The sequence below is a fragment of the Homo sapiens genome, chromosome 22 (assembly GCF_000001405.40).
Source record: "Homo sapiens chromosome 22, GRCh38.p14 Primary Assembly".
NCBI classification, from domain to species: Eukaryota; Metazoa; Chordata; class Mammalia; order Primates; family Hominidae; genus Homo; species Homo sapiens.
Genome location: NC_000022.11, coordinates 20,773,780 through 20,788,178, shown reverse-complemented (window position 1 = coordinate 20,788,178; position 14,399 = coordinate 20,773,780). Strand labels below are relative to the sequence as shown.

Genomic DNA, 14,399 nt, shown 5'->3' with positions numbered 1-14,399 from the left:
TACAGTTAGACACCTGCACACACAGCACCTGTGACCGTCAGTCATCCCCTCACTGAAAGAGCACTGGCACTCTTGCGTGCTGAACAGCCTCTGTGGATTTCACTTGTCTTACCCAGGGATTGAAGGATCCAGAAACATATTCCTCAGGTGTCATCTGCTCTGTCAAACCAGACCCACTGCAGGACCAGGTATGAGGGATGAAAGCTGCAGCAGCCTGGCATAGACTGTGGGAGCCCTGGGGCTTGTGTGCCACTTAGCACCCCACAGTTCTGGGGTACTGCACAGACCCTCCCCAGGATTCAGCACACACCTGTCCTGTCCTGAGAACATGCCCTGCTGTGGCACATTGTGGTGCTCAAGTGACTTCCTCTCAGCCTTTATCATACCTGGAGTTATCCAGGAATTTGGATTTGGCTTTTGATATTTGAGCTTCAAAAAATAGAGAATTATAACAGATACACAGTAAATGTGGCTACATTTATTTATCTCTAGTATGGGAGACATGGCACACACTGTCCTCCAGGTCACAGGGAGGCAACAGCAGGAGGGACTGATGGCATTCATCATGGATTTGAAAGGTCAGGCTTTGAGAAAATTAAGCCCTAACATTAGCCCAGGGCACCCCTCATATGTCTTGAGGTGGCTTCTTCCCTGGACATCAAGAATGGTGCTAGTTGTGTACCCTCCTTGGGAGAGGTAAGGAATTAGTCACACCACTCATTTCTGTGCTTGGTATTCAGATGAGGGGCCTGGTGGAGAAAGGCTTGAGTGACAGAGTCAGGTGTGCAAGGATGGGGTCACCGGAGCGGGAGGTGCTTAGGACGCGCTGCTCAGGTTTGCTGTGAAGAGTGGGGAGGTGAGACCCTCTAGGTAACAGCAGACACACTACAGTTACAGTGACTTCTATGAGCTTACAGCATGGGCTATTGTGCAGAATTGATTCCAACAAGCCTCTCTTCTTGGTCGTTTCTAAGCTCCTCTCATATGGGCCTCGAATTCAGATTGGTAGCGTAAACTACGTAAATGATGCCAGAACATCTCTGTTCTCGTTGTTGGAATGGAAACAAAATGAGGGTGCCCCCAAGGCACTTCAGACACCTAGACCTCCACCTCTAGGACCTGCTGGGGTTGGCCACTCTTCCCATGAAGAGCAGGCAGCTGGTGCGATGCTCGTAGATGAGGAAAAGAAAGGGGCGGTCGACAGTGAAGCGGACTTGGGTGGACAGCGGCATGAACCCCACCGTGGTCACAGTGGTGGCTTGGGTGCCTTCCTCGTTCACTGTGATCGTGCCTTGGTGCTTGAACTGTTTGGAAAGGAAAGTTGTCAGATTCTGGAGGTCAGCACACAGAGGGCTAGAGTTCCCAGCACAATCTCATATCATTCAGGGAAAGGATCCAAAGACAACATGTAAGGTGGAAATCACAGCTGGTCAGAGTCACTCTTGAAAATATCTGTCACCACCTGTCAGGGGCAGCCGTTGCACTTAGAGGCCGGCTAGGTTCATGTTCCCTCTTGGCAGTGCCTGTGGTCTGAGGGTCGTGGGGGCTGGTGCAGGACAGCCACCCCAGCTCCAGCTCCCCACACTGCTGCGCACTTCTCCGGGATGGGGAACTGGGTCTGCTGCACTGTTTGGACTGGTGTTCTCTCTCTTTTGCTGAGCGCCCGATTGGTTTAAGTTAAGTATGTGTATAGTGCGGTGTTTAATGGCTCTTTCATGATTTGGCTGGGGGTAGCTATTTCCCAGACCGCAGCACATGTCTCCCCTGTCTCTGGTGTCAGCGGGAGTGGGGCTCACCCCATGGCTGCTCTTGGGATCCCCCCTGCCCAGTAAGTGTCTGCCAGGTGCCGTGCTCTCCAGCTGGCATCCATGAAACTAGGCATTCTGTGTATCCCACCCAGGCCGAAGAGCAGACTCAGCACCCCAAGCTGGGACATGAGATTGGGGGGTGGGTAGGAAGGGCAAGTGGAGGTGGGGCTGTGCTGAGGCAGACCCTGGGGACGGGTCGGGGGTGGACAAGGGAGTGGTTACCAGGTCGATGGCGATCCTTTGGTCTGAGATGCCTGCCATGTTGCCATTTTTGTCAAACAGCATCCTGATCCCCATCAACTTCAGGGACTCCACTAGATTGTAGTTCTTCTCCAGCTTGAATTTCGGCAGAAGCACTTCTCGAGTTCTAGACAGAAAAGGAAAGGGGGGCCCAGTTTTATTGAACCACAAGTTACAAAAGAATCATGATTTTCCCTTTAAAGGGCCACGGGTTATATTTATCACAGAATTGATATAGCACTTATTAAAATTTATATTCCGGGACTGTCAGTTGAGGATTTTAGGAAGCACACTCCTTTGTAATTCCGCTACTGAAAACTGAGGTGTGTTTTCTGTTGCATGATTATTTCCTTGAGACTGTATGGTTCGTTTCCTATCTTCAAGGTTAGCAGCAGAACTTTTCCTGGTTTATGGTTTAAAAAGGCATCTAAAATAATTCTCTGGTTTGGTTTCCCAATTTTAGGCATTTGGTTTTTTTTTTGTAATTAAGGAGTCGAATATCTGGTAGTGTACTTTTAAAAAGAACCTTTCCTGTATATACTAGACAATGCTGAATATTCTCAATCTTTGCCTCAACTTACTCAATCCCTAAGGGGGCGGATAGCAACAGTAGTGCCTGTGGAGTTAGTCTGGCACTTTGCAGGGGATAAAGAGATTTAAGGTGCAATCCCAGCTGGATGGGCAGGAAGGCTTGATCTTCTTCACTCTTTTACCTAGCTCATACCTTGCACCAAGTAAGATCTCAATTAAAAGTCAAATGGGCCAGGCACAGCGGCTCACGCCTGTTAATCCCAGCACTTTGGAAGGCCAAGGCAGGAGGACTGCTTGAGGCCAGGAGTTCAAGACCAGCCTGGGCAACACAGCGAGACCTCATCTCTACCAAAAAAAGTTTAATTAGCTGGGCATGAAGGTGCACGCCTGTAGTCTCAACTATTCAGGAGGCTGAGGTGAGAGGATCACTTAAGTTCAGGAGGTTGAGGCTGCAGTGAGCCATGATGATGCCACTGCACTCCAGCCTGGGTGACAGAACAAGACCCTGTCTCAAAAAAAAAAAAAAAAAAAAGATGCAGTCCCTTTCTCAAGAGCTGCCGGGCTGCAGGGAGGAATGGAAGGAGGCAGGTACAGAAGGGACGTTGTTAAGGAAAAATTCACAGAGCATGATGACTGGCTACCCGGGCAAATACCTTCCTCTGAGAGCCTACTTTTCTCAGTTTGGTTGCATATGTTTGTATTCTTGTCCTATAAGGAGGTTCAAACCAGAATCACTTCTTCATATGGGCCTAGCCAGTATCCAGTAAGACAGAAATAAGACCTCTCCATTCTTTCTGCCATGACCCAATAATAATCTCAATAAGTACTTAACACCTGCAGTTTTAACTACAAAGTAACGAATAATAATAGAGGAAATCATGAATGATGTGTCCTCGGTAGGCTAAGAGGACCTTGGAATTTCCTGGGCAGGGAAGAGTTGAGCCAATCTTTTTTTGAGTGCCTCCTAGGTTCCAAGTACTGGGAGGGGCGCTCAGCATCGCTGATTCTGTTATTTTCTCAAGTGACCCGGGGAAGTAATGGAATTATACCCATTTTAGGGATGATGAAGCTGGGACTCGAAGCCACAAAGCAAGCACCAAGCTGTCTCTAAGTCATCTGCCTCTAACTTCTGAAACTGGCCCCTAGAGGGCAGATGTGTCCCTTATGAATGCTCTCTAATCATCTCTTATCTCAAGCAACAAATTGGGGCTGAATTAACAGAGTGGCCCTGTATGGAAGTTCTTGGGTACTTGTACATAATTCTCCCTTTTTAAAAAAATGATCCATTTTCCAGTATTCCCAGACACCCCCAGCATCTGGGAGCTCAAAAGAACAAACACACAGTGTGAAATACCTGTTTGTCATGCTTTTTTGCCATCTCTCCACCACCCGGGGTGTCAGTTGCGCTTCGAGGGTCTTCATCCCAGACATCTTGTGTGGGACCACAATTAGCATGCTGATGCCCCCCACGTATTCCAGCTGGAGGATGTCGCAGTCCAGCTCCTGGTCATTTGCTGCGAGGAAGTTCCCCTTGGTCTGCATCATGGAAACCTTAACTACCTCTCTCTCATTCAGCCGGAAGTTGTGGTTGTGTGTCATTTCCACTGGGAATTTATTCACCCAGGATCCTGTAAAGGCCACAGGAAGAGGCTGTTATGAGAAGGTTCCTTTAGGGAAATCGTCTCACCCTTGAGAGTGAATCTGATTTCCCTGGAGGCCTCATTCAGATAGCCTGCAGAGCCGACCCCACAGTCTCTTGATTCCTGAGGCCTGATTTGGGCAGAAATTTGCATTTCTAACAAGAGAGGTTAACGAGAGGTTACCCGGACTGGAATAGTTTCTGGAGTAGGGTCTGATACGAACTAGTTGTTTGACCATGGTAAGGCACCTAACTCGCTTCTATTTCTTCATCTGTCACATCTGTCAAATGAGTAACTTTGAGCTCTTTCCAGCTTTTATTACTGTTATTATTATTTGGTTTTTGAGACCAGGTCTCACTGTGTCATGCAGGCTGGAGTGCGGCGATGCCATCATAGCTCACTGCAGCCTCACACTCCCAGGCTCAAGGAATCCTCCTGCCTCAGCCTCCCTCCCCAGTAGCTTGGACTACAAGCACATGCCACGCCTGGCTATTTTTTCTTTCTGTCTTTTTTTTTTTTTTTTTAATTGTAGATGGGGTCTTGCTATGTTACCTAGGCTGGTCTCAAACCCTTGGCCTCAAGCAATCCTCCTGCCTCAGCCTTCCAAAGCACTGGGATTATAGGCATGAGCCACCCTGCCAGCCTCAGCTCTGTCTTGATGGCCTTCATCCCTCACACTGTGATTCTGTAGTGACTAACAAGACATTTGGGTGATGCCATGTTGCCCTTAGGATCACCACTGTAGATATGGGGACAGTGCTGTGTATCCAGGAATAAGCCCATGTCTATGTTAGCTCTAAGATGTGAGTAACTAATAGTAATGGGTGACTAGTAGTTGAGAACTGGCCATGTGCCGGGCATTCTTCTCAGCACCTTTCCTGTATTATCTCATTTCTGCTCCTAGCAACATGCAAGTTGTGTGCGTTTTGTTATCCCTCTTTTACATATGAGGAAACAGAGGCACAAAGAAGTGAAGTAACTTGTTCAAGGTTTCTAGCTGGTGGGTAGAGCAGCCAGGATGAGATGAGCAGGAGGTGTCTTGGAGGTTGAAGTACCAGACAGCTCCTGCCTGCCTGTGAGTGAAGCTCGATTCCCTTCTCCCTGAGTCTGCCTCACCCAGGGTTTCTCAACCTCAGCATTTTTGACATTTGGGCCACATAATAGTTTGTGGCAATGTGGGCTGCCCTGTGCATGGTAGGGTGTTTAGCAACATCCCCAGCCTCCCCCTTCTAGATACCAGTAATGCTTACTCCAACCCCCCAGGTTGTGACAACCAAAAGTGTCTTCAGACCTTGGGGACAAAATTGCTCTTTTGGGAATCACGGCCCTTTCAGTTTGGATGGAGCTGTCCCATGTCTCTTGGGATTCTTTCCTTCTGACTTCCTCATGAGAGCCTGCCTCTGTTTATTGTGCTTTACAAAGTGATTATCACATTAAAATTAGAACAAAATTAGTAATGGAGATGATTCCATATGAAATTAAGTGAAATTAAAATTACACTTCTAGACACTCGTCCCCTTTGAGAAGCATCCATGAATGATTGGGTACTCCTAGCATTTGATCCCTTGTGATGCCCGGCATTGAGTGACTATTCTCATGATGGGGAAAGGAAGCAGAAGCATTTGCACGTGTGTTTACACTGTGGTATGACACGGGTTACTGTGTTTAGGAGATTGTCAACTGACCATGCCTGATCATTTCTCCACCTCCATGCAGGCAGGGATGGCTCACTGCTGTACTTCTCTGCCTGTCCCTGAACCCTCAGCCAGGGCTAATGCAGAGGCTCTTTGGTGTACTTGGGGGGCTCCAACAGACCAGTAGGTTGGAGGACTTTGATGCTGCCAAAAATGCTTCTGCCAGCCTGTTCTAAAGTCAGTCCTAAACATAGGTTATTTGCTAGTAGAAGTAAAATAAATGTCACTAACAATATCATATGTTTATCATATTGTACTAGTATTGTAATCTACAGTTTCATTCCCTCAAATTCGCTGAGCTCTTGTCATGTGCCACTCTGTTGCATTGCCATCGCTTATGGTTCTTCCCTCGGCCCTGTCAGAGTGGGTGTCATCTCTGTGATAAAGATAAGGAAACTGAGTCATAGAGATGTTGAATGACTTGTCTGAGGTCACACAAACGAGAAGTGGTGAAACCAGCGCTTAGACTCTTGTTTGCTCAATTCCAAAACTTGTACTAATAACCTGTAATGAAAAGGATATGTGTGTTCATCATGTACATGTGGTCTCTGTGTGTGTGTCTGCCGCAAGCCTGTTAGAACTCAGCCTTTGATTCCACCCACAGGAGGCCAGCATTGTGCCATGCCTTGGGGTGGAAACCTGGGTGTCAGAGTGACCCTGCTTGGCCTATCCAGCAGAATGCCTGCCTTGTAGAGCTGCAGGGGCCTCAGCCAAGGCACAGAGCAGGTGTGTGGACAGATCAGGAGGGGCTCTGGCCCCCTTTCCCTGAACAGAAGCCAGGAGCTGGGGGGGGTCTCCTTCCTTCGCCTGGGCTGCTATAAAACCACGGGAGCTAACTAGCAGAAAGCACTGGCCTCCAAGTACTGCCCTTTGCAGGTACCTGGTAGTCCTTGGTGGCAAAGAGAAGTGGTTGTGTGTCACCGCAATTAGTCCTGAAGCCGAACCATTCCTCGTGTTTCCCCTTCCACACTCTCAGCTTAGAGAGTAAAGTAGAGGTTTCTTCTGGTCTGGTCCAGGTGAGGATATTTGAAAAGAGAGGTTTGGATTTTACAAATCCATGCTTATTTATTCCTAGGATTCCAGGGGTCCTATGTGTGTGTGATGGGTGTGGGGTGACCTCCTTAAAAAGTGCCCTTGTGCTCAGCCCAGAACAGTTGCTGGGGAAATAGTAATTTATTTCTCCATCCCACCTGCCCAGTAGTTCAAAAGTATCCTGAAAAGCACTTGTAGGTGTCAATGTCAGCTGCTCAAGCTGAATAGTTCACAGGTGCATTTCTTTAGCCTTTTGTCTATATTCCTGCTTATTGATAATTGGGAAAGGAAAAGAGAAAACTCAAATCCAGGCTGGCCAAATGCTAAAACAGTTTTTGTATTATTTCTTCCAATTTAACAGATTGCTAGGGTTGGCCTCCCTGGGTTCAGCTTTGGCTCTGCCCCTTAATAACTGGGTGCCCTTGGAGCATCGTTTTACTTCTTTTTTTTTTTTTTTTGAGATGGAGTCTCACTCTGTCGTCCAGGCTAGAGTGCAGTGGCACAGTCTCGGCTCACTGCAATCTCTGCCTTCCAGGTTCAAGTGATTCTCCTGCCTCAGCCTCCCAAGTAGCTGGGAGTACAGGCACCCACCGCCAGGCCCAGCTAATTTTTGTATTTTTAGTAGAGCCAGGTTTTCACCATGTTGGTCTGTTGGTCAGGCTGATCTCGAACTCCTGACCTCAAGTGATCTGCCTGCCTCGGCCTCCCAAAGTGCTGGGATTACAGGCGTGAGCCACCGCGCCCAGCCCATCCTTTTACTTCATGTGTTGGTGGCTTCCTCTGTAAAATGGGGATGCTAATAACAGTGATGACCTCACAAGGCTGTGTTAAAGCACAGAGTTAGGGCTCAGTAAGTGTCAGATGCTACTGTCACTTCAGCTTGGCCTTCCCTGTCCCCGTTCCAGAGTCAATCTTGTGTCTAGTTTTCCTGGATAAATTATAGCTACAGTACAGTTCTTGGCATTCAATCTACCCACATACAAAAATAGTATGTTGTGGGTTTGCTGTGAGAACTGTAAAGGTGCCTCTTACCTTTGAAGTAGATGCAGTTGAGAATCATCATCTGGGTAGCAGGGTCTATATTCTCCAGAGCATCTTTTATGAGGCCCTTGGTGAGCTTCATGATGTGGTTGTTGGTTTTTGATATGAAGGCAGGGTCTGAGAAGTCAGCTATCTGGGCCTCAGCAAAGTAATACTCTCTTACTTTAGTTTTGAAGTCAAGCAGGATTGGAAACTGCTTCTGGATATAAAGGTCATTGACTGACCGCAGTGTGTACCCAAAATTCCTCCTGAAGAGGCGATGAGTCAGCTTACGGAAGAGATTATGAATGGTCGTGATTTCATACTTGCTGCTGGCATTAACAAAGTCTTTAAAATGCAAAATCGAGTGCACTTGTTCATGGGTCTCTCCCTTCAGACCTAAGGAAATCATACCCATCGCAGTAGAAATGCCAACGGGTGCTATGAAGATGTTATCGAAAGTGTTGACCTGGTCTTTCAGCACTCGGTAGAGGTTGAAAGCGAACTTGGCGTTGAGGATGTTAAGACGCTGGATCCGGCTCTTGCCATGAAAAAGCTGGAGGATGTTCCCAGCACTCACATCAGAGTCTGTCGGGGAAACTGACAGACTGTCGACGATGTCGATGTAGTCGTCGTCTTCACTGAATATCTTCTCCAGGTCCAGATAGTCGTCGTCCTCCTCCCCCTCTGGAATCCAGTCGTTGGTGACGGTGTTTTCCTTGTGGAAGTCGGCAGGGAGAAGAGGCATGCTCAGGTTTTTGTTATTTAACTGCTCCCACTGGGGATCTGCAGACTGAGCAGTTTCCCCTCCTTTCTCTAGCTGATCCAGCGGGCCTTTGCTCCCACCCCACGCAGATGTTATGATGAGGAAAATGAGAAGTGCGTTTAATGAGTGTTTCATTTTGGCGGAGCTAAAGCTGGGAGGGAAAACAGAACACAGTGAAAGGCGGCCTGGCTGATCCACACCCCGCTGCAGCATCCACATGGCAGGTTCCCTGTGGCTTTGACCCAGGAAGAGGCCCTCACAGCATTAGTTCTTAACTGTTTTAGGATCATGGACTTTAAGAGAATCTGATGTAGATAGACACCCAACCTTTGATGTGGGACTCATAAACCTCAATGAAGGATCTGTGGGCCCCTTGATGAAAATCCCTTCTTTAAAGGTTTGCAAAACTAACCTTCTAGAATCCTGGGAGCTCAGGCATCCCAGGGAGGAGTTTGTTTTTCTCCAGACACCTTGTCCACCACCTCCAGACAGTGTTTAGTTACCAGAGACAAAGTTCCCACCAGGGGCTCATGGACCAGTCAGGGGACAGATGGGACAGACGTGCAGTAAAGCGAAGGCTCTCAAAATAATGCTGCCAGAGCACATGGGGGTACGGAAAGGGGTGTGGCTCTACCCTGTGTGGTAGGAGTGGAAGTGCCCAGAGAGTCAGGGAAACCTCACTAAGAGCTGGGCTTGAGTGGGCACCTGGGGCTGGTGATTGGAGAGTACCTAGAAGGGATGTGCATTAGTGGGACTCAGCCATGCCTGTGTGACTCACACCATTCCACCTTTGCAATGGAGATGCTGTTGAAAAATGTCCATGGGCCAGGCTTTCTGAAAACATATTCTAAAGATACTTGAAATTTGTGCAATCTTTGGGGTTGTTTAATTCGTTGTTTTTTTGTTGTTGTTGTTGTAATTGGCTTTTGTTGTTTTTATTTTTTGAAATGGAGTCTCACTCTGTCACCCAGGCTGGAGTGCAGTGGCGCGATCTCGGCTTACTGCAACTTCGGCCTCCTGGACTCAAGCAATTCTCTTGCCTCAGCCTCCCAAGTAGCTGGGACTACAGGTGCACACCACTACGCCTGGTTAATTTTTGTATTTTGTTTAGTAGAGATGGGGTTTTGCTCTGTTGGCCAGGCTGGTCTCAAACTCCTGACCTCAGGTGATCCACCCACCTCAGCCCCCCAAAGTGCTGGGATTACAGGCATAAGCCACCACGCCTGACCTGGGGTTGTTTAATTTGCAAAAGATTTGGAACTTGTCTAGTGCTGAGACCCCCTCAGGGCGTAGTGAGGTGATGTGGTGGCAGCCCCAGAGGTGATATCACTTGCTGCAGGTATACTTTTTTCTCCTTTGTATCTCTTAGACAATAGCTCCCACTGCTGTCAGGAGCAACTAAATCTTCTGTGTTACTGCTTCTAACACAGGGTTAGAAACAAGAGATAAAGTCTGTGTGAGGGTGATGTCAGCAAGCTCTTACTCAAGACCTGAGGGGCACTCCCTTTATTTAAGTAAACAAGATAAGCTTTTAGCACAGAGGCATTATGGCAATCCTGTCTTTATTTGTTCCTCTGACTCGTTCAGAGGAGGATCTGACTTGGCCTGTCAAATCTGTTTTGACTGCCAAATCCTTTGTCTTTCTCTTGCTTACTTCCTGGTTATTAACTGCACTCTGGTTAGATGAGCTTTGATGATTCCATGTTTTGCCAGGACAGTGACCATAGGTGTTTATAATGCTGACTCAGACAGGTAATACATGGTCCCAACTTCTAATCACCCCAGAAAGAACTGCCGGCCAGGCGCTGTGGCTTACGCCTATAATCCCAACACTGGGAGACCAAGGCAGGAAGATCACTTGAGCCCAGGAGCTCAAGACCAGTGTGGGCAACATAGCAAGACCTCATCTCTGTGAAAAATTAAATAAATAGGCTGGGTGCGGTGGCTCAGGTCAGTAATCCCAGCACTTTGGGAGGCCGAGGTGGGCGGATCATCTGAGGTCGGGAGTTCGAGACCAGCCTGGCCAACATGGAGAAACCCTGTCTCTACAAAAAATACAAAAAAATTAGCCGGCGTGGTGGCGCATGCCTGTAATCCCAGATACTTAGGAGGCTGAGGCAGGAGATTCGTTTGAATTCAGGAGGCAGAGGTTGTGGTGAGCCAAGATCGCACCATTGCACTCCAGCCTGGGCAAAAAGAGCGAAACTCCGTCTCAAAAAAAAAAAAAAGAAAAGAAAAATAATTAGCCTGGTGTGATGGCACACGCCTGTGGTCCCATCTACTTGAGAGGCTGAAGTAGGAGGATCACTTGAGTCTGCAGTGAGCCGTGATCACGCCACTACTGCACTCCAACCTGGGGGATAGAGTGAGTCCTTATCTCAAAAAACAGAAAACAAAAAAAAAACAAAAAAAAACTGCCTTTTGTTAAGCTTATTTTGTGTCTGTGACCATTTCCTATTAGATAGATATTTGAGGCCCAGAATATCTGCTGCCAGTTGAGGCCAGGTAAGAGTTACTGGCTGCTCTTGTTAAGCAAATATTTGAACTCAGTAGGCCTGAAGATGGGGTAACTGTTCGGATACTCTGCTTGAAATGCTGTCAGTGTGGTTAATGTTGATAATGGCCTCTGTTGGATGCCTGACACGCTGTATAAGGCACTTCGTGTAACTTAGTTTCATCCTCCCAACATTTTATATATCAGGAGACTGAGCCTTTCGTCACTGTCACTAATAAGTGGCAGTGGCTAGATTCGAACCAAGTTGGTTAAGCCTCTAAGCCCCACATCAAGCGCTCAGCCTTGTTCGCTCTGGAGTACCAGGATGCTTCCAGACTCCCTGGCCGTGCAGAGCAGCTTCCTAGCTGTTTTCCCAGTGCCAGTCCCATTCCTTGGGTCTTCCCCTTATAATACTGTTGAAATAGTAAGTTCAAAGTTTGTTTTAGTCACAACTAAGAAAGACTTTTGAATTGCACATTTTGGAGCAGGAAAGTCACATTGTTTCTGACTCAAAATGCCTGTTGCCTTTTCCAGGTCCCCATCTCAGCACCTGCCTCAGGCTGCAGTGCCACTAGTTTACACACGGGAAAACAGTTTCTAGAAACGATTTCTTTTTATTTTTATTTTGAGACGGCGGGGTCTCACTCTGTCACCCAGGCTGGAGTGCAGTGGCACAATATTGGTTCACTGCCACCTGTTCCTCTCAGGCTCAAGAGACCCTCCCACCTCAGCCTTTTGAAGTAGCTGGGACCACAGGTGTGTGCCACCAAACCCAGTTAATTTTTTGTGTTTTTGGTAAAGATGGGGTTTTACCATGTTGCCCAGACAGGTCTCAAACTCCTGAGCTCAGGCAATTCTCCTGCCTTGGCCTCCCAAAGTGCTGGAATTACAGGTATGAGTTACCATGCTCAGCCTCTAGAAATGATTTCTAATGTATGTAGCTGCAAATAGAACTGGGCCCAGTTTCTGAATGGCACTTTGAGTAACTTAGCTTCATCCTCCCAGCATTTTACATATCAGGAGACTGTGTATCAATAGCAACACACTTTTAAAAGTCAGGAACAAAGAAAGTAAGCAGCTGGTAGAAGGCTCCTTGCCCAACTACACTTCAAGTGTCCTCCTCTTATCACTTCTTGGCCTTTTGGCTAAGATCAAGAAGAAGAAGACCAGGCATAGGGGCTCACACCTGTAATCTTAGCATCTTGGGAGGCCAAGGCAGGAGGATCGCTTGAGCCCAGGAGTTCAAGACCAGCTGGAGCAACATAGCAAGACCTCATCTCTATTTTAAAAAAGAAAGCCAAAAGAAGAAGGAACAAAGGGGGAAAATGTTTTCTTCTCAGATAAAAATAAGGTTAAAGAACAAAACAAAAACCAACTTGAATAAATAAGCATTCAGGAAAACGTATCTGAGGCCAGATAGAGTGGCAGAGTAAAGACATGCATGTTTTATCCCGGTATTCAGAAGTTATATTTGGAAACTTCTTATACCCTGTTCCCACATTATCTGATAAAAAGCCAAAAATAGTTTTCGTCATTCCCTTACCAGAGGAAGGAGAAAATATCTCTGATATCTTTTATGGATTGAAATTAAAGATCTGAAGGTAAATCTTCCTGATGTTTTGCTATTTAGTATAACAAACATTGTAGAAGACGTTTAAAAACTATCACTAGGTTGTGATTAAATCCAGATTACTGTTTGAAGAGAAACAATATATTTTAAAGATAAATCATTCAAAAGTTTGTTTTGCTTTTTTTTTTTCCTGGGAACTTCATATTGTGCTTTCTTGCTAATTGCCAGAGCTGGGTTGGCCTTTTCAGTCACGCATCAGAGCATAACACTTGATAAACCGTCATCCCTCCTGGTGTATGGTCTCCAGGCCCAACAGAGCAGGCAGAATGGGAGAGAAGTAACTGCCTAAAGTTTGGAAAACTTTTTATTTTGAAGTAAGTTCAAACTTCCAAAAATGTTGAAAGAATAGTGTAGTAGAACAACTCCTGTATACCCGTACCGAGATTTACCAGGTTTAAAATTTTGGAACCTTTGCCCTGTCATTATCTGTGTGTGTGTGTACGTACGTGTGTGTTCTCACAGGCATGCACATACACATTTTTTCTTCTAGACCATTTGAGAGTAGGTCTCCTATATCTTGTTCCTCTAACATTTTTTCTTTTTTCTTCTTTTTTTTTTTTTTTTTGACGGAGTCTAACTCTGTTGTCCAGGCTGGAGTGCAGTGGCACGATCTCCGCTCACTGCAACCTCTGCCTCCCGGGTTTAAGCGATTCTCCTGCCTCAGCCTCCTGAGTAGCTGGGATTACAGGCGCGTGCCACCACGCCCAGCTAATTTTTGTATTTTTAGTAGAGACTTGGCTTCACCATGTTGGTCAGGCTGGTCTTGAACTCCTGACCTCGTGATCCACCCGCCTCGGCCTCCCAAAGTGTTGGGATTACAGGCGTGAGCCACTGCACCCGGCCCCTCTAACCTTTAATACTAATACTTCAGGGAAAATACCCAAGAGCAAGGATATTCTCATACATAATCACAGGACAGTTATCCAATTCGATTAATTTAATATAAGTACAATATTTTCATCTATTCCACAGCTCCTATTCTAAGTTTGTCAACTCTCCCAACAATGGAACTGACACAATTTTATAATAGGCACACTGAAAAATGAAACCATTTCCCACTTCTAAAACAGTGTAGAAAGCTTCTGAATTCTTAGTTTGCTAGAAAAATGAACCAGTTGCCTATCCGTAAACACCAAAAATAATTTATAATCAGCAGAAACATTAGAAACCCAACTTACCTCTGTGTTTCTGAGAAGTGGCGCTTCAGAGATGAAAGCAGCCAAGGTCATCAGTGGGATTTTGATGTGAACTTTGGTGCTGGGCTGTTGCTGCATATTTTCCAAAGTAAATAAGTCCCAATCCAAACACCAGGCAACCAGCTTGGTCAGCACAAACCCCCTCAGCTGTGCCTTTGATAACTGTAGAGTGGCTTGCAGCTCCTCATCTCCAGTTCTTAGAGCTGACACTTTGAGTATATGACGGTTACTGTGTTAGCATGCACACATAGCCTTGGTGCAGGAGCAGCCCCTCTTGAGGTCACCACATAAACAAGGCGCTCTTCAGGCCTCTGGGGACCAGGCTGCATTGAGGGTAGCTGAAAGTAG

The 14,399-nt window shown here is 46.7% G+C and overlaps 2 protein-coding genes across 9 annotated transcripts in view, besides 1 other annotated feature; one reads left to right on the top strand and one right to left on the bottom strand.

The window, feature by feature from the left end:
* Positions 1-14,399, top strand: part of PI4KA (phosphatidylinositol 4-kinase alpha) — a 151,121-nt gene that overhangs the window by 70,633 nt on the left and 66,089 nt on the right. The gene's annotated exons all lie outside the window — the stretch shown is intronic.
* Positions 459-14,066, bottom strand: SERPIND1 (serpin family D member 1). The gene is made up of 5 exons (NM_000185.4): positions 14,034-14,066; positions 7,978-8,882; positions 3,934-4,207; positions 2,031-2,175; positions 459-1,304 (listed from the first exon to the last, which is right to left on the bottom strand). The coding sequence occupies exons 2-5, from the start codon at positions 8,864-8,866 to the stop codon at positions 1,113-1,115; spliced, it is 1,500 nt and encodes a 499-aa protein (NP_000176.2). The 5' UTR covers positions 8,867-8,882; positions 14,034-14,066; the 3' UTR covers positions 459-1,112.
* Positions 10,084-10,378: an enhancer, noted in NCBI's record as "tiled region #10582; K562 Activating DNase unmatched - State 25:Art". NCBI's record gives its function as "activates a minimal TATA promoter and a strong SV40 promoter by Sharpr-MPRA in K562 cells {active_cell/tissue: K562}" and the evidence as "EXISTENCE:reporter gene assay evidence [ECO:0000049][PMID:27701403]".

Excerpts from the sequence above, each read along its gene's own strand:
- SERPIND1 (NM_000185.4), bottom strand. The coding sequence starts at position 8,866 with ATGAAACACTCATTAAACGCACTTCTCATTTTCCTCATCATAACATCT. Across the intron at positions 4,208-7,977 it reads CAACTGCATCTACTTCAAAG|GATCCTGGGTGAATAAATTC; the intron begins GTAAGAGGCACC and ends TGGCCTTTACAG. Across the intron at positions 2,176-3,933 it reads CAAAAAAGCATGACAAACAG|AACTCGAGAAGTGCTTCTGC; the intron begins GTATTTCACACT and ends TTTTCTGTCTAG.